This window comes from Homo sapiens, chromosome 16 (genome assembly GCF_000001405.40).
Source record: "Homo sapiens chromosome 16, GRCh38.p14 Primary Assembly".
Classification (NCBI taxonomy): Eukaryota; Metazoa; Chordata; class Mammalia; order Primates; family Hominidae; genus Homo; species Homo sapiens.
The window spans coordinates 83,729,580-83,751,974 of NC_000016.10; the positions used below are offsets into that span (position 1 = coordinate 83,729,580).

The following is a 22,395-nucleotide window of genomic DNA, read 5'->3' on the forward strand; positions in this document are numbered from 1 at the left end:
TTACTAGCTGTGTGTCCTGGACCCAGCTACTTAGTCCCTCACCACCTCTGTTTCTTCATCTATATAATGGGTCAGTAATCCCACCCACATGAAGTTATTGTTAGACTTAAATAAGCTGACCCATGTAAAGTGCTTGGAAATTCCCTGGCACAAAGCAAGTGCTCAATAAATATTATCTGTGACTCTATTATTATCATCATCATGATCATAATTATTACCGCAACTGCCACTAGCATTCCCTTCCAAGGTATTTTCTCAGCCAGCAGCAGCAAATCTGTTTGGGATTGTATGTCAAGCCCTGTGAAAAAGAAGGGTTTGGCACACAGGGCTTCATACAAAGAGGGGTTTTGAAGCTGACCTGGCCATTGCCAAGTCATTACCGTGCTTGTGAGAAGGGGGCAGCGAGCCTGCCACATGTTTGCATGTGGACCCTCACGGTGCTATACACATACCTACCTACTATAAAGATTTACTTCGTATGTGTTGTCATCTTGTCATGCTGTGTTCATCATGGCTTTTAATGTCTACGTAGCATTCCATTATCACTTTTGATCAACAGTTCCCTGATTGATTTTTTATTTTTCTATAGTAAACATTGAAGGAGAAAATATAATTGTCGCTAAATATTTCAGCCAAATAAGTCTGAGCTATGCATTATTCTAAGGCCCTCTCTCAGATCTTCACAATGCAAATCTGAGTATTAAAGGCTCTGAGAATTCTTGCGCAAAGGGGGACCTCATTTGATGTTATTAACCTGGCATTCCCCAGTTTTGGAATGTGCTCCCTATAGCTATTTCTTTAAGCTAAATAATTAGAGGAAGAATTTCTGGGTCAAAGAATATGTACAGTTCCAAGAGATTTTCATTTGTTTCCCTCTAGAATGTTGTTTTAGGAACTGACAAACTTGGAGATACCTCCTTCTGGGCTAAACTGTGACTTTTTAAAATCACAATTCGATGAAAAGTTCAACACACTAAAATATACGGTGGTATTCTTTTAAAAAATTCATACAATTGAACTGGGTACAAAGGATCACCTGGGTTTTTTGTTTGTTTGTTTTTGTTTTGTTTTCGTTTTTTGGTTTGTGGTTTTTTTGAGCTTTTAGATTCAGGGGGTCCATGGGCAGGTTTATTACCTGGGTCTATTGCGTGTTGCTGAAGTTTGGGGTATGAGTGATCCCATCACCCAGACAGTGTGCATAGTACCCGATAGTTTTCAACCCTTACACCCCTTCCATGCTCCCCCTTCTAGTAGTCCCCAATGTCTATTGCTCCCATCTTTGTGTCTGTGTGTACTCAATGTTTAGCTCCCACTTAGAACTGAGAACATGCAGTATTTGGTTTTCTGTCCCTGTGCTAATTCGCTTAGGTTAATGGCCTCCAGCTGCATCCATGTTGCTGCAAAGAACACAATTTCATCCTTTTTCACAGCTGCATAGTATTCCATGGTATACACGCACTGCATTTTCTTTATCCATTCCACCATTGATGAGCACCTGGATTGGTTCCTTGTGCTTGCCATTGTGCATTGTGCTGTGATAAACATACAAGTGCATGTGTCTTTTTGGCAAAACAATTTATCTTCTTTTGGATAAACACCCAGTAGTAGGATTGCTGAGTCAAATGGTAGTTCTGTTCTAAGTTCTTTGAGAAATCTCCAAACTGCTTTGGACAGGGGCTGAACTGATTTACATTCGCACCAACAGTGTATAAGAGTTCCCTTTTCTCTGTAACCTGGGCAGCATCTGTCATTTTTTGACTTTTTAATAATAGCTATTCTGACTGGTGTGAGATGGTATCTCATTGTGGTTTTGATTTGCATTTCTCTGAGGATTAGTGACGTGGAGCATTTCTTCATATGTTTGTTGACCGCACGTATGTGTTCTTTTGCAAAGTGTCTGTTCATGTCTTTGACCATTTTGTAATGGGGTAGTTGTTTGCTTGTTGAGTTGTTAAAGTTACTTATAGATTCTGGATATTAGACCTTTGTTGGAAGCATAATTTGTGAATATTTCTTTCCATTCTATAGGTTGTCTGTTTATTCTGTTGATAGTTTCTTTGCCAATTTTTGTTTTTGGTGCAATTGCTTTTGGGGACTTTGTCATAAATTCTTTGCCAAGGTCAATGTGCAGAATGCTATTTCCTAGGTTTTTTCCAGCTGGATTCTTTTCTCGTCTTCTGGCAAGTCAGTTTAGAAGAGGTTGATTTATTCAGAAAGTATCCATTTTCTTTTTCTAGACTTCAGACAGGAAAATGTAAAATGAGCAAAATTCTCGTGTATAAACTAGCTCAAAGGTTTGTGGAAGATTTAAATGCTGCATGACAGGTAGCAGGTAGTCGATAAATGCCAGTTGTGAATATTGCTTTTCAGATTAAATAACAAGGCTGAAAGTAAATGTTTTGGACAGGCTAGCTATTCTTCATACATCCAACCTAAAGGTAATCATCCTGGTTTATTTATTTATTCAAAAAATATTGAAAAATTCACACTGTGAGCCGGGTCCTAACTAGCCCTGAGGATAGCAGTGAACAAGACAGTGTGGAGTTTCCATTCTAGTGGGAAGACCGGCAATGAACAAGCCAATGAATGTCTGATCACACAACCGGTGTGATTACAGCTTACAGCTCTTTCCCATGGGAGAGTCAACAGCTTAATGGGATGGAGAGTAACTGGAGAAGGCCACCTTAGATGGGCTGGTTAGGAGGGAGATGATGTGTGATCTGAAGAGTGATAATGAACCAGCCAAGGGGAGAGGTGAGGGGGAGAAACCAACAGCTAATGCAAAGGCTGGGACGATGGGAGAGCCTGGCTAGCTTTGGACTGGGGAACAGGGTGAGTTGATGGTGGGAGGTGAGCAGTGATCAGTCCCCAAAGCCACAAAGGTTTTGAAGCCTGAAAGGGACATGACGTACATTTTTTAAATCTCACTCTCCTGTTCTGTGAGCAACAGAATAGAGGACCCGGAAACTGTAGTAGGGTTCTGTTTCTACACTAGTGCTAATGTAGAACCTCCTACATCCAGAAAGATGATAGCAGAGCTGAGCCACATTCTTCCTGGCAACTGATGTTCCCACACGTAGAAACAGCTGGCATCCTCATACAGAGGGAGGCTTGCAGGCCCAGGATACATCTCATCCCCCTTGCTAATCTCAGTACTTGACACCCCTGACCTCACCAGGGGCACCAAACCCAACTGCTTCCTGCAGGGATTCAGCTGCACTTGTCATCACAGAGCCTTGAAATCCCTGGGGATATCAACTCCTTGGAATTCCAGGCTGCTCTTCCACTTGCTTCTGACACATTGACTTTTCTGCCCATTCACTCACCCATCTTTAACCAAGGCCTGTATGGCCAGACATGAGGCCACTCACTGCCTACATGAAGAGGGAAAGACAAAGTGTATCCCTGGGAGCTCGCTACCTTGTGTGAAAATTACAACATCAGATAGTAAATGCCTTGGTGAAGATACGCATCCCAAGGGCAGGAAGCTCCCCACCTTGATCACTGCAAACTCCCCAGTCCCTAACAGAATACTGGGAAGATAGAAGGTGGTCAAAGCGTATGTATGGAATGAACACTGGAAATCAGTACACAGGGCTGGGAATGTGTGATTCTGAGCACTCAGTGATGGAAATAACCCTCCAGCTCCTTCACAGAACAGCCAGCAGCATCACCTGTTTTGGTGATGGTGCCTCCGGATGATGATCCGTGAGCGCACACTGGACTCGTGCTCCTGGGTGAGCTCTCTCCTTGTGAAACCCAGATGCTTCTGTCTCCCAGGGACCCTGCAGCCCTCCCGGTAACCTGGCCTCCATCACGAATGCAGTCTCTATAGACGGTTGTCTATTAGGATGCCACTGGAGAGGGAGGTCCCGTCATCACCTAAGCTAAGCACAGCTGCCTCTAAGTACCTCCTTGCTTGGCAGCCGGCCAGACCACATTCACTGAGCTTCAAGTCATAATGCGAGGCTCAGCCATCTATCTCACTGTGGTCCCCGCTGCAGCTGGCTTCATTTATTGACTTCTTGAAAGTGGCAATATCCATGCTCAGCTTGGTCTGAGCTGGACTCAGAGACCCAGGTGCCAGAGCAAAGGCCATGGTGTGTCGGTTAATCACCCAATAAAAATAAACTCTGAGAACAAATACAGAGGGGTGATTAACTTTCCCATTCTGGTCTTCTGACATCCCAGTTTGCTCTCCCAGTGAGCGTGTTTCTTTGAGATAAACCACCCTGGGAAACTGATCACCTGTCCAGACACCACCATGCCTTGGCGTAAGTGGACAAAAGTGGAACGTGACCTGCAAGCAGCGCAGCCTGAGACTTAGGCAGAGAGCCCCCTGCCCCAGGTTCCATGCTGCTGAGGGCCTTATCAGAAACTCTGAAGCAGAGCACCAGACTATTTTATTCTGCTTTTTGCTCTTGTAATAAAGTGTTATTAGTGTTTAGTCACCAGATTAAACCCCAAAGCCTTACCTCCCCTCCTGTGACCATCCATGTACTCCAAATCATGAACCAAAAAACAGGGACCACCAACAGCCCTTACCAAAAGAAGACTGGAAGCACAAAAAAGCAACTTACCATGAATCAATTTAAAGTGAAGACCAAAGTGTGACTCAAAACTGAAAAAATATATGTATTTGGTTAAGATGTAATTGTTACCGAAGCACCAGGGGTTTGGTCTGGGTCCTGCTGTTCACTGCACAGAAAGCCAATCACTGAGACAAGACAAAAGCCAGGGAAGAAGGCTTTAATCGGGTGCTGCTGCAGCCAAGGAAATGGGAGGTCAGTCTCAAATCCATCTCTGAAATGAGGGGTTGATGCACCAGAGAGGAAATGTAACCGTGTTTGGGAAAACATGGATGAAATTGGAAATCATCATTCTCAGTAAACTATCGCAAGGACAAAAAACCAAACACCGCATGTTCTCACTCATAGATGGGAATTGAACAATGAGAACACATGGACACAGGAAGGGGAACATCACACTCTGGGGACTGTTGTGGGGTGGGGGAAGGGGGGAGGGATAGCATTAGGAGATATACCTAATGCTAAATGACGAGTTAATGGGTGCAGCACACCAGCATGGCACATGTATACATATGTAACTAACCTGCACATTGTGCACATGTACCTTAAAACTTAAAGTATAATAATAATAATAATAATAATAATAAAAACAGGGATTAAAGCGGGGCAAGGAAGAGAAGTTGGTCAGTAGGAAGCAGGTGGTCCTTTAGGCAATCCTGATGGATGAGGGGTCTGGCTCCTCATTATCCAGAGGCAGTGGTCTGGTAAGTTTCAGCTCCTTGATTTTATCTGGGAGACCTGATGGTTGGCTTCTTGAGAAAGGAACTCAGATAAGACAATTGTAACTTTCTCAAGTTTTAAAGTCTGGAAGGAACAATTTCTGTGGTTATTCAAAAAAAAAAAAACATAAGCGTCAGTTCTGTGGGACAATTTGATCACTTTATTTTGGAGAAAAAAATGATGAATAGAAGTTTGTTTATAAGTTTAACCCCAATAATAGGCTAGTCTCACAGTGAACACAGATGAACCAAGAATTGCTTTGCTTTTGACATAATTTTTACAACATCCCACGGCAGTACATGCCAAACTTCACCTTGTGCTCAGCTTATGCCCTGCATTTATAAAGAGATTGTCTTTCCTAACCATTCGAGGGCTTTGTCCATTTCCCAAAGGACCTCTCCCCAGTCCTTTGCCAGTCAAATCACTCTTTCGAAGCAGTTGTAAATCCACTGTCCTTTCTCTTCTTCAATCATTGATTCCCTTCTCTCCATTGCGTTTTCACTTGTCATGGATTTACTTATGATTCCTTTTTTTCTTCTTGTATTGCTTTACTTGTAATTAGCAAATAATAATTGTATATATTTATGAGGCATAATGTGATGGTTTGGTCTTTGTATACATAGAAACTTTGATCAACATCTCCCCCTTCTTCAGCCCTCTCCCTGCTGCCATGAATTTGACTCTTTTAGATTCCACAGATACATGAAATAATAAAGTATGTGTCTTTCTGGGCTTGGCTTATTTCACTTAGCGTAATTCTTATACTCTGAGTATCCTCGTAGAACCCTACATCTTTTGTGAGATTGACAGTCATACTTTGTGCTGGACTGGTGCATCTTTGGGATGGTTTTGTCACTGGGCGATAACTCATGAGGTCTGCTGACCAGGTAGATACCAGGAGTAAGCAGGATATTTGGCTGCAAGAGAGAATTATAGGCCTGGTCGGGAGTTCATTCAGGATGTTGTAAATGGAATACTGGGGTGATGAGCAGTCCTTGTGGGTCTTGTTCATATTTGTATATATTCAGGCCTAGGAATGCAGGGAAAAAAGGGATAAAACACACTGAATGAAAAGAGTGTGAACAAATGGATGAAGAGCCTCACACCAAGTAAAGCTTACGTTGCTACCAACTGGTACCAAACTCCAAGTCGTCCTGTTCTTTTCCAAGCGCCATTTCTGCTGCTTAGAAAAAGCCACCCAATCTGGATACATGGATGTAGCAAATTTAACCTTAGACCTAGATTACCTATAGGATCAGACTTGATCAGTCATTAATAATGATAATGAAAATTAATCATGAAAGCTATCTTGTGGTTGCACCTTAAAGCATCTGTGTAATGCTTTTACCCATACTAAGAGTGTTCAATCCCTGTTTTCACCTAGGATTGATAAGTGTATTTCTGGATTTCAGAAATCGGATAGCTTCTGAAGTCTCAGCCTGTTAATATGGTAACTAAATATGTTAAGGTCCTAGTCTCTCAATGTTTAATTACTGTTTAATTTTTTATTTCCTAATTTACTCAATGTGTATGATATTGTTAAATTTGTGGCTTTATACCCTGAATCTCTTTGTCTGTATTTCTCTGTATTGCTTGGCAGTCAATTTGGTCAAAAGCAACAACGAAATGACCCTTACGAAGTGTCAAATGTCCCTTTATATGAGATATAAATGTCTTTGCAAAGACACTTATAAAGTTGTGAAGACGTTGTTTCCTTACTCTAATAGCTGCTGTATTCACGTAGGTTTCAAAAATGGGGTGGGGGAGGGCAGTGGCAGTGAGCGCCTAGCGGAAACTATGTCAATCACCCCTGGAAATAAATCTGCAAAATGGACTAGCAAGCCCTGACTAGGAAGAGCCCGGCCACAGCAAAATCTTATTGCAGGCACAAAAAGGTCCTATTGCAGCAGTTGGGAGACCTTTGGTAAATTCTAACAAAGAATTAATGGCCTCGAACAAGACGCCCGGTATGACCTTTGCCAGAAGAAACTAGGAGCAGACTTGCTTGCCTGGAACAGGTGGTGAGGAGGTTTTCAGAGAAGATGTGTGCAGTCCCTGGCAAGTAGCTGGTGCCCAGGAAATGTCAGTTCCATTGTTTGCCAGGGAAGGCTCGGTGCACGTGGGGCTCACACACAAAGGAAGAGGTTAGAGAGTCCGCAGAAAAGGGTGGGAGCTCAAAACAGTGGTTCTTAGGCGTTTGTCTGCAGGCACGCTGGTAATTCATGCTGACCATGCCCACAATCAGTGGCACCTAGCTGTGGCCCCACCCCTTTCCTGCCCACTATTGAAAGTGACTACATGGCAAAGAGCGCCTATTTCCTAGACTAAATCATTCTCAGACTTAAGTTATTAGTGAGCGCTGTTAGACTCAAGTTCCTTGATATCTACATCACAACTGAGTAGTTTATCTCAGTGGTAAGTCTCGAAGTTTGACTTCGAAGTTACTAAGAGCCTTCCAATAAAAGAACAGTTTAAGCCAATATTGTTTCACCATTGATAGTGATGAAGATATTAAATTCACACACATGTGCTGTGTGATTTTAAACCTTTCTCAAATGTGTATGATTTTTATAAGCAGAAATATAATTTTAAGAAAGCTTTATATCTATGTAATAGGGTTCTTTTTTTTTTGGGAAATATTGCCATCCTGTAAATTCCAGTCCTATGTTCCTGAGTTATTCCCCACTAAGGAAAGCCCAGCTGTGGGACATAGACCTGGTTTCCACCTCAGAGTTTAAATCATTATTCTCAGAATGGTGGTTCTCAAACTTTGGTGAATCAGAGCCACCTGGAAAACATGTTAAAAATGGAAAGGTCCCATCATATCATCAACAGCCCTGATCATTCTGATACACACCCAAATTGGAGAACCAGTGGCACAAACAAATGCCCAACCCTCGTGGGCTATTCACAAGGCAAACAAAAATCAAGCTATGCTTGGGAGGCAGAGATCCACATTGGAACCACACTTCTGCTGCTGGAAAGCTGCATGACTCAGGCAAGCTCCTAGACCACTCTGAGTCTTTGTTTTCTCATGTGTAAAATAAGGTGGTAATATCTACCTCCCAGGTTGATGAGGCAATGGCAGACAGTAATGTATATGAATACATACATCGTACGCCACCTCCTCAGTGATCAATGAATGTGCGCTTCCAGTTGTAGACACAACAGCAGAAAGTTAATGCTGAAAAATAGGAAAACACTCACAATGCATGATTTACGATGTGAGGGAGCCTGCTGGCATGGCCCTTGTCACGAGAGTAATTAAATAACCATTTGTGTAATTACTAATTTATATCCTGTCTCCCTGCTGGAGTGTAAGTTCCAAAAACTGGAGGGAATACACTGCTGTCTTCCCAACACCAAGCGCGGTGCCTGGCATGAAACAGACACCCAGCAAATGTTTATTCCAAATGAGCGAGTGAACAGTACGTCACATTAAAAACGTGTGTGTTTATGTATACATCGATACATAGGCTGGAAGCCTCTAGGCAAAAATGTTAATAGTGCTTATCTCTGGAAGTGGATTAGGGTGATTTTAATTTTTTTCTTTTTTCTCCTCCGTATTGTCTGAATTTTCTGCAATTAACACAGAGGACCAAACTAGCATTTCCTTGGGTAAATGCGAGTGGAGTTGGAGCCACCCCCTACCACTGTGCCTACAAGAGCATGTTTTCTTGTGATTCCAGCTTCCTTGGGGGTTTCAATATGTAGTCTCTAGAATTAAAAGGGTTTTGGGCCAGGTGTGGTGGCTCAAGCCTGTAATCCCAGCACTTTGGGAGGCCAAGGCAGGTGGATCACAAGGTCAGGAGTCTGAGACCAGCCTGGCCAACATAGTGAAACCCCATCACTACTAAACATACAAAAATTAGCCGGGCATGGTTGCACATGCCTGTAATCTCAGCTACTTGGGAGCCTAAGGCAGGAGAATCGCTTGAACCCAGGAGGCGGAGGTTGCGGTGAGCCCAGATTGCACCACTGCACTCCAGCCTTGGCAACAAAGGGAGACTCCGTCTGAAAACAAAAAGGGGGGGTTTAGGAGAAATAGGAATTTAGTGATTTCTAAAGATAAGTAGAATTTGTTCTTATTCACCATTTCCTTGTCCTGATCATGGACTATGCAAAAAAGAGCTCACACAACAGGCCTGAGACTGCTGTTCCTAGAAAGACCTGCCTACAAGGTTGGCCTCAGCTGGTATGTAGAATCTTGGATGTGGGGAGGGCTCCCACTCTCTTAGCTGATAAGAGTGACTCACTGCACCTAAACTGCTTGCGCGAACAAATGTGGTTTATGCTGAATATCTGTTTTCCCCCTGGGAGTCAAGAATTTTGCTAATGCCATGTGGAGGGTGTCTACGTGACCAGCCCCCCAAAAAAAACCCTGAATGTTGAGTCTTCGGTGAGCTTCCCTGATGGAGAACATTTCACATATGTTGTCACAACTTGCTCCTGGAATTAAGCACGTCCGGTGTGACCCCACTGGGAGCAGACTCCTGCAAGCTGGTACCTGGTTTCCCCAGGATGTTGCCCCATGTGCCTTTTTTCTGTGCTGTTTTCCCTGCGTATTTTCCCTGTGATAAGTTTTAACCATTGAATATGACAATATGCTGTGTTCTGTGGGCCTTCCTGGCAAATCACTGAACCTGGGAGTGGTCTTCGGGACCCCCAGCACACAAACCCACCTAACTAAGCCCCCTTTGACAGCATGTATCAGATCCAAGGCAACTAAAGGGATGGGAATGTCTGGAGCAGCATAGAAGTGGGAGTTTGGCTGGGACAAGAGAGACAGGTGGCTCTTTTGAGAGACCTGCCTATGGGGGAGGGATGAATGAGCACTTTAGAATTCTGGGTCACCCAGCACATGGGTCAACCAATGCATGTTAAAGAAGGTTTCTACTCTCATTCATTCCCTCATGCATGCATTCAACAACTGAGTACCTACCCACTCAGTGTGTGCGGGCCACTCTTCTAGATTCTATGTATGAAGGGTTAAGTAAGATAGATGAGGTCACTGCCCCTTGGAGCTCACATTCTAAGTTGTAGAGCTGGCCAGGGAAGGAGGCAGACTTCAGAGAGACCATCCAGAGTGGCTTCTCTAGGGAACACAGAGGCCTTGGTGTTGGAGCTGAGATCCTACAAAGCACAAGACACACATGAGAAAATCTAAGACTTATCCGATGAGGCAAGTAGAAATGTGTTGAGACCAGAAATAATTTACTAATTTCAAGGAATGAAAGGAAGGCCAGCGAGTCTGTAACTTAGGGAGGCTGAGGAAAGAGGTAGAAAATGCAGGTAGAAAGTCAGGCAGGTCCAGATGGATCCTCTAGGACCTTAGAGACCATGGTTAAGAGTTTGGATTTTATTCTATACCCCATGGGAAGTCATTGGTGGGTTTTAAGCCGGGGATTCACACTCTGTGATTTAACACTGGCTGCTCTTTGGAGAATGGACTGTAGCAAGCAGAAGAGAAGCAAAGAATCAGGTGCATTGCAGTGGTCTACACAAAAGACGATCCCTAGTCGTCTTACCACCTGCCTCCTACAATAACCAAAGAAAGTGGACCCACACCACAGCTACCTCGGTCCACTGCATGTGTGGAAGGTGATGATTCTCTTGGGCATGATATATATTACTTGTTGTCATGGTAGGGATCAGAATGTCTGTAAAAAGCAAAGTTTTGGTCCATGTGCCATCAGAAGATGCCAGCTGCCATATGCCAGTCAGAATTGTCATGTGCTAGAGCCTCATGCAGATGTCCACAGGATTTCACCAGGAGCTCTGGGATGCCTGGGAAGGGGATCCAGGGAAGGGACTGGAGATGTCAAGAGCTCCTGCCCTGTTCTCAGCTGTTATGGAGTCACAGAAGGTCATACCTACATGAAAGGCAAGGCAAGAAGTATCCCATCCTCCCAACCCCAAGAGGCCCTGCCCAGGCCACTCACTGGACAACTCTTCTTGTCCACATCTGCTGGTTGTGGCACCCCATCCCTGGGAAATTTGCTAATTTCAAGGAATTAAAGAAAGGCCAGTGAGTCTGTAACTTCGGAAGGCTGAGGAAAGAGATAGAAAATGCAGGTAGAAAGTCAGGCAGGTCCAGATGGATCCTCTAGGGCCCTAGAGACCATGGCAGTCCTTTCTGTTTACTGAGACTGCTTTCTTTGGCTCTGGTTTCCTGGGACAGGAAGAGAACAGTACCCTGGACTGTGATGGGCTGTGACTGTCTAACTAATCTAGGATTCTGGAATTCACTAGCCATTCAATTTTATCCATACATTTTGTCAGAAGATTTGAAATATGCCCTTTACTTTACACTCAGGGCCATAGCTACATGAGCTATTTTAAGATAGTGTATTTCCTTCAATTGGGAGTTCTGTCTCTTTCTGGTTCTGCTTTTAATAATAAATACGGGGTCCAGTGGACTGAAATTAAATAGGGTGTGAAGAATTCCCCTACTGTTTCCCTTCTTTCCTACAGTTTTACAGGGTTGTTTGTATCCTTCAGCAGGAATATAAAAATACCCTGTATCTCCTCTCCTTTCGTAGTTTTTATTTTCTACGTTTCTCATAGTCTTTCCTATCCTACTATATATATGTGTGTGTGTATATATATATATGTGTGTGTGTGTGTATATATATGTGTGTATATATATGCCATATATAGAGATAGATCCATCTTCCATCTATTACTATATCTATAATCTCCCTATATATAAATTTGATACGTATATAATCTGTGCCATGTCTAGTGCTCTGCTATATTGCATTGATCCATTTGGCTATTGTGCACTAATTGCCCAATATTACTTTATGACATTTTTAAGTCTAAACTGAAAGGAAAGCTATGCTCAGTCATGTAATGTTGGCAACCATGCTGCGCAAACATGGGTCCCCTACATCAGGGGTCCCCAACCCCTGGGCCACGGACGGCCCCAACCCCTGGGCCACAACATCAGATTGTTATTGGAGCACAAATCCTATTGTGAACTGCACACACAAGGGATCTAGGCGGCACACTCCTTATGAGAATCTAATGCCTGAACTGAGGAGGAACAGTTTCATCTCCAAGCCATCCCCCACCTGTTCATGGAAAAATTGTCTTCCACGAAACCAGTCCATGGTGCCAAAGAGGTTGGGGACTGCTGCCCTACCTCACAGAAAGCGAGTGACCCCAAGAAGCCTGCAGAAGGGACTTGTCAAACCTTTGATCTCTTTCACCTTCCCACCAATACTTGAGCCCCTGAGGGCAGAGGCTGGCAGCCCTTGGCTCTGGAAGTCCTTCCAGGTCAACAGCTGGCCCTGGCCACTTGCCTGGAAGCTTTCTTCCCTGCTCTGAGGGGGCCCTGCTGAGAGTGAGCCCGCCTTCCAGGGTGGCGCAGGCCCCAGTAACCCCCACTGCGCTGCCTGCGACTCGAATTCTGTTAATCAGTTTGCCTTGCGTCTCCCAACACCGACACCCAGAAGAGGCCGAGGCTTGGCAAGCACTCAGAGCAGCTTCTGTGAAGCTACATTACAGGCTGAAATGAGCTCAGCTTTTAATTTGATTTTTTTTTTCCTGTAACAAGCAAAGTTCACATTACAGATAAATTGCCCGGAAATTCCAATTTAATAAGGCGTATGCATTTTTCAGGCCTAGAAGCATTGAAAACATCTTGCACGCTAGTATTTTTACACTGAAAGGTTTATTAAAAAGACAGCTTTGAAAATGTCAGAAATTTACATAGCGCGCCTGGCCGATTGGTCAAAAAGCCTGATTGGACAAAAGCGCACGGAAGCCAGGAAGCGGGAGAGCAGGCTGTTCCGTGGTCTTGAGCTGTTCTCCCTCCACATCGGGAACGATGGCTCCACCGTTCATTGTCTCCACCCAGCTCTTAGTTCATGTTACATGGGTGCTCAGCAAATGAGTGTCCGTCTGTCCTCCTCTGTCTGCAGGTGTGTTTCTGAGTAGGAGCAGCAAGCTGTCCTTCCAGGGCATCTGTGGGGCAGGCATACCTCCTTGAGGTCTCCCATGGGAGGAGGCACCAAACAAAATAAGCAAACTGGCCAGGTGCGGTGGCTCATGCCTGTAATCCCAGCACTTTGGGAGGCCAAAGCAGGTGGATCGCTTGAGGTCAGGAGTTCGAGACCAGCCTGGCCAACTTGGTGAAACCCCGCTCTACTAAAAATAGAAAATTTAGCCAGGCATGGTGGCAGGTGCCTATAATTCCAGATATTTGGGAGGCTGAGGCAGGAGAATTATTTGAACCCAGGAGGCAGAGGTTGCAGTGGGCTGAGATCGCTGCCACTGCACTCCAGCCTGGGCGACAGAGCAAGACTCCGTCTCAAAAAATAAAATAAAATAAGCAAACAGAGGGGAGCAGAAAGAGTCCTGTGAAAACTCAGTTAAATAGCACAGCTCTGGATACTTGATTATTTTTTTAAGGAGGAAAAAGAGTGAGACATTGTCCTGTAAAATCACCCAAACCCTGGCTTTCCCTGGAAATGTGGCGCAGGCAGGCCTAACCGTGCTGAGTATTGTTTCTGAGGACTGCCTCCGAGTTCATGTCTCTAAGCATTTTATTGAATACAACTGCTTCTTTGACAAGAAACAAGCAAACATGCTAATTGTACAACAAAATTATGGCATCATGGGACAAAAAAGGAATGACAGAGGGAGCATCAAAGAGCATTGCTTGTACGCCAAACATGAAAGCCAAATTTATTTAATTCAGTTTTTATTTATCTTCTAAACTGAGTTGAGTAATCAGGCAATAGAATGCGGTTCATTTAAAACTTTCATTATTTCAAATATGTTGAACCACTACCAATCACTCCTGGATCAACAGGAAACTTGCTACCTGATGAGTTGCCTTTTTTCTTTTTTCTTTTTTTTTTTTTTTTTTTCTTTGCTTTTTCCATCCCCATGATTGTTCCAACAGAAGGAGAAAAGATGTAATAAACCTTTACCGGGCACCGTCTGCGTCCAGGCACTCTACTCGGCCCTGGGGGTGCAGAGCACACCACCCCAGCCTTAGGCATGAAAAACACTGTGTACCGAGAAGCCCAGCCCCTGGAATCCAGCATGCTGGTGCTACATTCCAGCTCTGTCTCTTATTAACTGGGCCGCTTTTGACAAGTTGCTAAGCCTCTCTGATTCTTGGTTACCTCAACCTTAAAACAAGGATGATACCCACTTCATCAGGTTGTCATGAGTCACAAAAATAAATGTAGTGATGCTCTTAAAGGGTTTAGCACCAAGCTGGGCCCAAGGAAGCATTCTGTGTGTCTATTGACCAACTTTTACCTATCCTGACACCAAGGAGCTTAGAGTTTAGTGGAGATGGCAGAGCCGTCAGGGCCCGTGTTAGGCTCCCAAAGGCATTTTTACCAGTGCATGTGCCTCGCACAGACCTAGTGAGGTGATTAATTCTACTGGGAAAGTCACACTGGATGAACGAGAGGAGACGTATGAGTGGGGTCTTGAAACAGTAAAAATTTGCCAGGTGGAAGCATAAATGACTCTTTAAATGAAAGCCTGGTGTTTTTAAAGCAGTTCATTCTCATGAGTAATTCATCGCTTCTGTTTTCACAAAATAGTGAAAGGATCATTGCAGCAGCAAGGGCATGTGGAAGCCCTGCGTTCGCCTCATCCGTTCTCCCCATCTGTCCCCTGTCACAGTTGCAGCATCAAAACATTGTTCCCCTAGGCTCTGCTGAGTCGGATGTTTCTGAAACATTCCAGGGGACCGTGTGAGTCACATCAGGGAGGACACACAGGGCCATGACCCCAGTGAGCCATTAACACACCCATAGCCTGACTCTGCAACGGCTCCCCCGAGGGCGCCCCGCACAAGACCAAGCCCTTTGTGTCAGCTTCAGTTTGCCCTCACAGCTACCCCAGAACACCACTGGGACTGTCCCCGAGTCACAGAGGAGGAAGTAGAAACACAGAGAAGTAGCTTGCCAGGCTCACTGTTAGAACCCAGGTCCTTTCCTCTCCAGAGTCCATGACTCTAACACTCATGTGATGCTGGCAATGTGAACGGCTGGGGGGAAGCAGCAGAGGGTGACAGCAGGCCTTGGCACCAGAGATCCAGCCTGCGAATCCCAACCATGCCCCATATTAGCCAATGATCTTGGCAAAGTTCACATATCTCTAGGCCTCTCAGTTCCTCATCTGTAAAAGGGGAGGAATAATATTATCAACCTCCCAGGGCTGGTGTGAGGGCTGAAGGCATAGATGCTGGAAGCTCCTGGAGCGGTGTCCAGCCGGCGCAATGTAAGGCTCGATGCTGCTGCAGCTGTGTTACTATTAATATTAAAGGGAGGCTGCACCCCGAGGCTGTTTTAGGAAAGAACAGGCCAGACGCCTTCCAGGAAGCATCAGCAGGAGCCTCTCCTGGCGTCCTTCTGCAGTTTGGGGGTCTGGTACATCCACTTTGCAGGACAAAAACTTGATTTGATTCTCAGGTCAGTTCACATGACCCCAACACAAAAAGGATTGATACCAACCCAGACCGCCTCTGTGTGAATTAAATTTACAACAGCGCTGTATCAGAGCATCTGTCAATGCTGACTGGAAGCCCAAAGACCTCCAGATGATTGGTTCTGAGACTCCAGGAGAGGCTGGGAACACTCGGAGGGGCTCTGGATGGTGGCCAGGCGAGGGTGGTAGGTGAATTGCTGTCTGTCCTGGGTCGCCATGAGGCTTGTGGTGACTGCATAGATGCCCATTCCCTTTGTCAGCCAGCAATTTCTTATTCCCTGGCTCCCCTTCTCAACAACCCAAGTTGACCATCCCTTCTTCAGTGACCACAGCCTCCCCCAGGTAACAATCCCATTGCAGCCCCCAAGATGACCTTTAAGTCATGGACAAGGGCAGTTCTTCTTCTCCTTGGCCACACAGGAGGCATCCCTCTGGCTTCCACCTACATCTGAATAATCCCACCCACCACACTTCGATTCAACTTAACTCTATCCTCAGAGGCCACCTTTTCTCAGAATTCGTATCTTCTTCGAAGTAAGATCCTTCAGGTGAAACATACCTGCTGACCACCCACCCTGAGTCACTAAGTTAGCTGGGAAGCAGCAGTTTTGAGTGTGGGTTCAGGGTCGCAGCTCCAAGGTCAGACCACCTGGGCCCACGTCCTGACTCTACGATTTGCGTAGCTGTTGGTTTGTGCCTCAGAGTCCTCATCTGTAAGTGGGGATATTATACCTACTATAATAAATTAGTAATGCCACGGTAACAAAGTATTGCAAACATGGAGGCTAGAAATTTATTCTCCCACAGTTCTGGAGGACAGAAGTCCAAAATCAGTCTAACTGAGTCAAAACCAAGACGTTGGCAGGGCCACGTTCCATCTAGAGGTCTAGGGGAGGGTCCTTCCTGCCACTCCCCACTTCTGGTGGCTGCAGCATTCCTTGGTTTGTGGCCACATCACTCCAATCTCTGCCTCCACGGTCGTGTGGTCTTCTCCTTTTCTGTGTCTCAAATCTCCTCTGCCTCCCCCTGAGGACACTTCTGATTGCATTTAGCAAACCACAAACAACCCCAAGATAACTCAAAATAATCTCATCTCAAAGACCTTAACTCAGCTCTGCAAAGTCTTTGCTCTATGAAGTAACATTCCCAAGTTCCAGGATTAGGAGGTAGATATCTTTTTCCCGTGAAGACTCGGGGTTAACTTGCTCCAAGCCCTTCAGTTGGAGATTTTCAATCCTGTTGGTTAAATCAGGTTTTAAACATCCTTAGACCCAAATCTGGCCATACAAGGCAGAGAAAATCAACTTCATGCATCTTTACCAGTGTAAAGATTCCCATGTCACTTCATGGGGATGTACTTCAAAGATGGGTAGGAAATGGCAGCAAAGTGCCAACAGCATCTTTCTGGCTTAGGTCTGCAAGTGGCACATTATCCAAGCCACCCAATTCAAAGAAAGCTGAGTCATGCCCAGTTGAGTCTCCCTGATAGATAAGACTATTATTTCTTACTCTATGCATCTATATTGTTTAAATCTCAAAAGAGCAACCTCAAAACAAGTAACATTTTAAAATCTTGGATGGTTTCCCATTATCCAAAGTCAAAACCCCTTAAAACAGTAGTTCAGGTTCTCTATAATATTGTCTAATCTGTTTCTCAAAACTCATTAACTTTTAGTTCCCTTAAAGAAACTGTTTCAAACACAACCCTCTACTTTCTAGTCCCTAAATATCTGTATATTCAACAAATATTTAGTGTCGCATATGGGCTAAGCAGTGTTCAAGCAGCTGGTGTCACAGCAGTGAACAAATTTCTTGCCCTCGCGTAACCTACATCCTAATGAGTGTTTCTGTTCCATCTGTAATAGTTTGGCTGTGTCCTCACCCAAGTCTCATCTTGAATTCCCACATATTATGGGAGGGACCCTGTGGGAGGTAATCGAATCATAGGGGCGGGTCTTTCCCATGCTGTTCTCGTGATAGTGAATAAGTCCCATGAGATATGATGGTTTTATAAAGGGAAACCCATTTTGCTTGGTTTCACTCTCTCGTCTGCCACCACGTAAGACATGCCTTTCACCTTCCGCCATGATTGCGAGGCCTCCTTAGCCACATGGAACTGTGAGTCTATTAAAACTCTTTCTTTTGTAAATCACTCAGTCTTGAGTATGTCTTTATCAACAGTGTGAAGATGGACTAATACAATTTGTTAACTCATATTCTCTCTTCCTGGTTTGTCTGTCCTCTCACTCTCTGATGACATCCTATCTATTCCTCCTGTCTTGGTTTGGATGCTGCATTCTCTGTGAGGTGCCCAATATTGCCCTGGATCAGAGGTAGTGAGTTCTTCCTCCAAGCATTGATGTGCCCTGCTTGTACCTTCACAACAGCACTTCTCCCACTAGTCCACATACGAGATACATCTGAGGTGTGAAAGAAACAAGACTGGACGTGGACTCAGGATTTGGGCTGTGAATTCTGCTTTGCTTCTGTGAGAGCTTGGCAGATGGCAAGAACATCTTCCTCCTGGGAGTGTCAAGAGGAATAAAGGAGGCACACATGCAAAGTGCTTAACACAAAGCAGACCCAGAGTCAGTGGCCTCTTGACTTTGTGAATGAGCAACTGTAACAGAAATGATGGTTTTGGATTTTTGTTACCTAGGATCCAGCACCTAGCCTAGGAGCTCATGCCCTGCACTCTGTAAATGTTTCTTGAATCTACTTTGAATGCAGAGTCTGACATTGTGGGGATTTTTTTCAGGTATTCTGTTTACAAGGACCCAGCAGGTTGGCTGAATATTAACCCCATCAATGGGACTGTTGACACCACAGCTGTGCTGGACCGTGAGTCCCCATTTGTCGACAACAGCGTGTACACTGCTCTCTTCCTGGCAATTGACAGTGGTGAGTACTTGACAAAGACCATCAAGGGTATACTTTTCTGCTACAAATATACTTTTACATTTTTAAATTTCTTCTGATACACCCAGGGGTGTTCTTGGGAAGAATGTAAGTGTGTGGGAACAGCAAAGTAAATGTTTAAATATACACATGTTGAGTTCAGTAATATCTCCAAGTCCCAGAATCCTCAGATCTTTTTGGAAAGTGAATAATGTCTGGTGAGAGGTCAGAGCAATGAACTCACCCTGTCCCATCTTGGGCAGGCGTGGAGGTTAGAAAGCCACGCTGATGTGCTTTGTCTTGGTGTCATGCTCTCATTTGCAAAGAGGCTCTTGGACTTAATACAAGTTGAAAGTAAGTCCCAGAGGACATCACTGACCCTGACCATTGAATTGTTCTTGTAGCTTTTATCCTATTATGACACGCTGCCAAGGAAAGGCATCAGGTACCCTCAGTTAGTGGCTGCACAACCACAAAGCAATTGCTGTTCGTTCAAAAGATGGTAATGCACTATCCATATGCCAGCCCCTGATTAGATGCTGGGGGCGCAGCAGTAAACAAAAAGAAAGCTGTCCTCATGGAGCTGACGTGCAGAAAGGAGGCAAAGTTCAAAGTGCCACGATTGTTCTCTGCTCCTTTGAGATCAGACTGTAGGGCACAAGGGCAGAAGGAGGGCAACCTCTTAGGAGAGTGCATGGTAATCTATGCAAGATGGTGGCCTGGACCAGAGACTAGGAGGGGATGAGAAAAAGAGAGTTCCTATATACTTTGAATGCAGAGCTGACAGGATTTGCCGTTAACTGAGATGAGGGGATTCCAGTTGGTTTGGGGACATGTTAAGCTGCAATGTGTATTGTGTCAATCACACAAGAAGTTTTGTTCTCCCTATTATTCCTAAAAGCCAGCTGTTTATGGCTAAAGATTCAGTTTTGAGTCCTTCCATATCAAGATGAATATTTATAGGTGCCCATTGTTATACTCAACAAGGGTGAACTAAGAGTTCTCAGTCCTGGTCCTCGTATGCCGGCTACTCACACAAACCATTAGGAGACAAGTCTAAGAAGTGAGCAATCCATGTGACACACAATAAGTAGAGAGTGCTTCAAAATAAAGGTGAGCCTTGGGGTTAGCCTTGAAAGACGGGTAGGATTCGGATGAGTGGCATTACCCAGAAATCCAAGGCAGAGGAATCAAAACTAGAAGGGGGCACAGCACAGGAGGTAAGAAAAGGAAAAAATAACTGTTGTGTCTGCTATAAGTGCGTATGTAGGAATCTATTTGGATGTATGTGGAAAAGTCACATCTTCAAAGCCAGATGATTCATTTGATAGAACAGGGAACCAGGAGACCCTGAAACTTCTTGAGGAGGAAACTGACACGATGAAATATCAGGTAGACAATGTTCAGCAACTGAGAGCTGGACCAGATCTTGTGCTTGGTCCTGGAGACTCATGGATGAATAATACATGGTCCTTGTGTTCAGAGGGCTCATGAATTATTTGGAAGGTTAGTCAAGTACACAGAAGATCACAGTAGAGTGTCCTAACTGTTCTGATGGAGCTAAGCCCAGAGAAGCCCCTGTCCAGCCTGGGGGGTAGTCATGGAGAGCTGCCTGAGAGAGGGGACATCTCACCTGCGTGATGAAGGATATGTGGATTAAAGGTAGGGCATGCTAGTTCTGGTGTTGAGTTAGTTGGCAGCTTCTGATTGGTTAGCCTTAAGTTTCGTTTTTCTTTAACATAGTCATTTATAAGAAATAGCTCATGTTGGCTGGGCACGGTGGCTCATGCCTGTAGTCCCAGAACGTTGGGAGGCTGAGGTGGGTGGATTACAAGGCCAGGAGTTTGAGACCAGCCTGGCCAATATGGTGAAACCCCATCTCTACTAAAGATACAAAAATGAGCTGGGCATGGTGGCACACACATGTAGTCCCAGGTACTCAGGAGGCTGAGGCAGGAGAATCTCTTGAACCTAGGAGGCAGAGGTTGCAGTGAGCCGAGATTATGCCACTGCACTCCAGCCGGGGTGACAGAGTGAGACTCCATCTCAAAAAAAAAGAAAGAAATAGCTCACGTTCAGTTTTGCTTATGTTTGCAAATCAAGCAAGGTTAAGGTGACTTATGACACCTAACTGGCTTTTTCTGCCCAGTGGTTCTTCAGGCCTAATTTCCATTTTAATTTACTTTAACAATTGATATGACTGAACTGTGTCCTCTCAATGTTGACGTATTGGAGTCCTAATCCCTGGTTCCATAGCATGTACCTTATTTGGAAGCAGGCTTGTTGCGGATGTGGTTAGTTAAGGTGAGGTCATGCTGGAGTAAGGTGGGCCCTGATCCAATATGATTGATGTCTTCCTCAAAGGGGGAATTTGAAGACAGGCATGCACACAGGGAGAACACCACATAAAATGAAGGCAGAGATCAGGGTGATGCTTCTGCAAGTCAAGGAGTTCCAAAGATTCCCTGTAAACTTCCAGCAGCTGGGGGAGAGGCTGGGAGGAGAGCCTTCCTCACATCCCTCAGCAGGAACCAAACCTGCAGATGCTTCAGTCTTGGACTTCAGGCCTCCAGAACTGTAAGACAATAGATTTCTGTCGTGTAAGCCACTCCTTTGTGGCACTTTGTTATGGCAACTCTAGCAAAGTAATGCAAGATTTAATGGAGTCATTACCTATAAAGCATTTGGAACAGTACCTTGCTTGTAGCAAGTGCTTAACTTAACTATTTAAAAAAAAAAAAAAACAGGTAAAGCATTCTAGTAGAATAAAGATGTGAGAAGTTGGGAAGTTGGTCAGCATTAGTGGAAGCTAGCATGGCAGGTTCTTTGTGTGCAAAGATAAGGGCAGAGAAGCGTGTGGATACCGGACTGTTCTAAGGTTGGAACTGGGTCTTGTGCTGAATGCCCAGCACCTACCATGGTGCCTGACTTAGAGCAGGCACTCACATGCCTGTAGAATAAGTCATGAAATCAATCGTGAAATGCTCCACATGCTATGCCATGGACTTTGGCCTTGAAAATGTCACTCACTTGCCTCCAGAATAAACATTGTGTTTTACAAAGATACACAGGCACAGTGGCTCATGCCTGCAATGTCAGCACTTTGGGAGGCTGAGGTGGGCAGATCGCTTGAGGTCAGGAGTTCAAGACCAGCCTGGCCAACATGGCAAAACCCCATCTCTACTAAAAAAAAAATATACCTCCCCTCCACAAAAAAGAAAGATACATCCTATAGCAGCATAGAAAATGGACGCGGTGATGGCAAGATGTGAGGAGGGAGGCATTAGGCAGCTGCCGCAGAAATACAGGTAAGAGAAAAGAGAGGACCAAGCCAAGGTAGTGAAGTTAGTTGGGGAAAAGTCAGCCTGCAGTGGGTAAATGTGTTAGAAACCATAGCAGGTATCTTAGTTGATGGGGTCAGAGTCTGCGCAAGCATAACATAAACGGACCAGAGGGGAAGAACCTAGATAACATCTGAAAGGAAGAAACAAATCTTTGTCAAGAGCTTATACTGAACATGAGCTAGAGAAATGCAATATTCAGGTTTCTGGTCCAGAAATCAGGAATGACTATTTCATCAACGTAAACAGGGAGTGAGTTTCAGAGGACTGGTCCTTCTTGTTTTCGGAGGGTGGGTGTTGAGATTACGTCCCAGAAGAAGCTGGCAAGATAGAAATGGAATAAGGAGAGATTTTGATTAGGGAGTTGCCCATGCAGAAGAGATGCG

At 44.7% G+C, this 22,395-nt stretch overlaps 1 protein-coding gene and 1 long non-coding RNA gene across 10 annotated transcripts in view; one reads left to right on the top strand and one right to left on the bottom strand.

Moving 5' to 3' along the window:
• CDH13 (cadherin 13) overlaps window positions 1–22,395 on the top strand; it is a 1,173,672-nt gene that overhangs the window by 1,102,611 nt on the left and 48,666 nt on the right. For all 5 annotated transcript variants that reach the window (NM_001220488.2, NM_001257.5, NM_001220489.2 and 2 more), the window contains one exon: window positions 18,529–18,671. In NM_001220488.2, the coding sequence (NP_001207417.1) occupies window positions 18,529–18,671 (143 nt within the window). The remainder of the gene's footprint in view (window positions 1–18,528; window positions 18,672–22,395) is intronic.
• The window catches only part of CEDORA (CDH13 antisense oligodendrocyte and neuron associated lncRNA), a 52,560-nt gene that overhangs the window by 9,190 nt on the left and 20,975 nt on the right, over window positions 1–22,395 (bottom strand). Inside the window, exons 2-3 of one of the 5 annotated variants that reach the window (NR_199710.1) lie at window positions 10,252–10,442; window positions 5,447–6,339 (exon numbers count right to left, since the gene is read on the bottom strand). The exons of 2 other annotated variants lie outside the window; for them this stretch is intronic. This is a non-coding gene — a long non-coding RNA (CDH13 antisense oligodendrocyte and neuron associated lncRNA). Of the gene's footprint in view, window positions 1–5,446; window positions 6,340–10,251; window positions 10,443–12,968; window positions 17,007–22,395 lie in introns of those variants that run through there. 2 more of the 5 variants (NR_188500.1, NR_199711.1) reach the window with 2 other exon arrangements.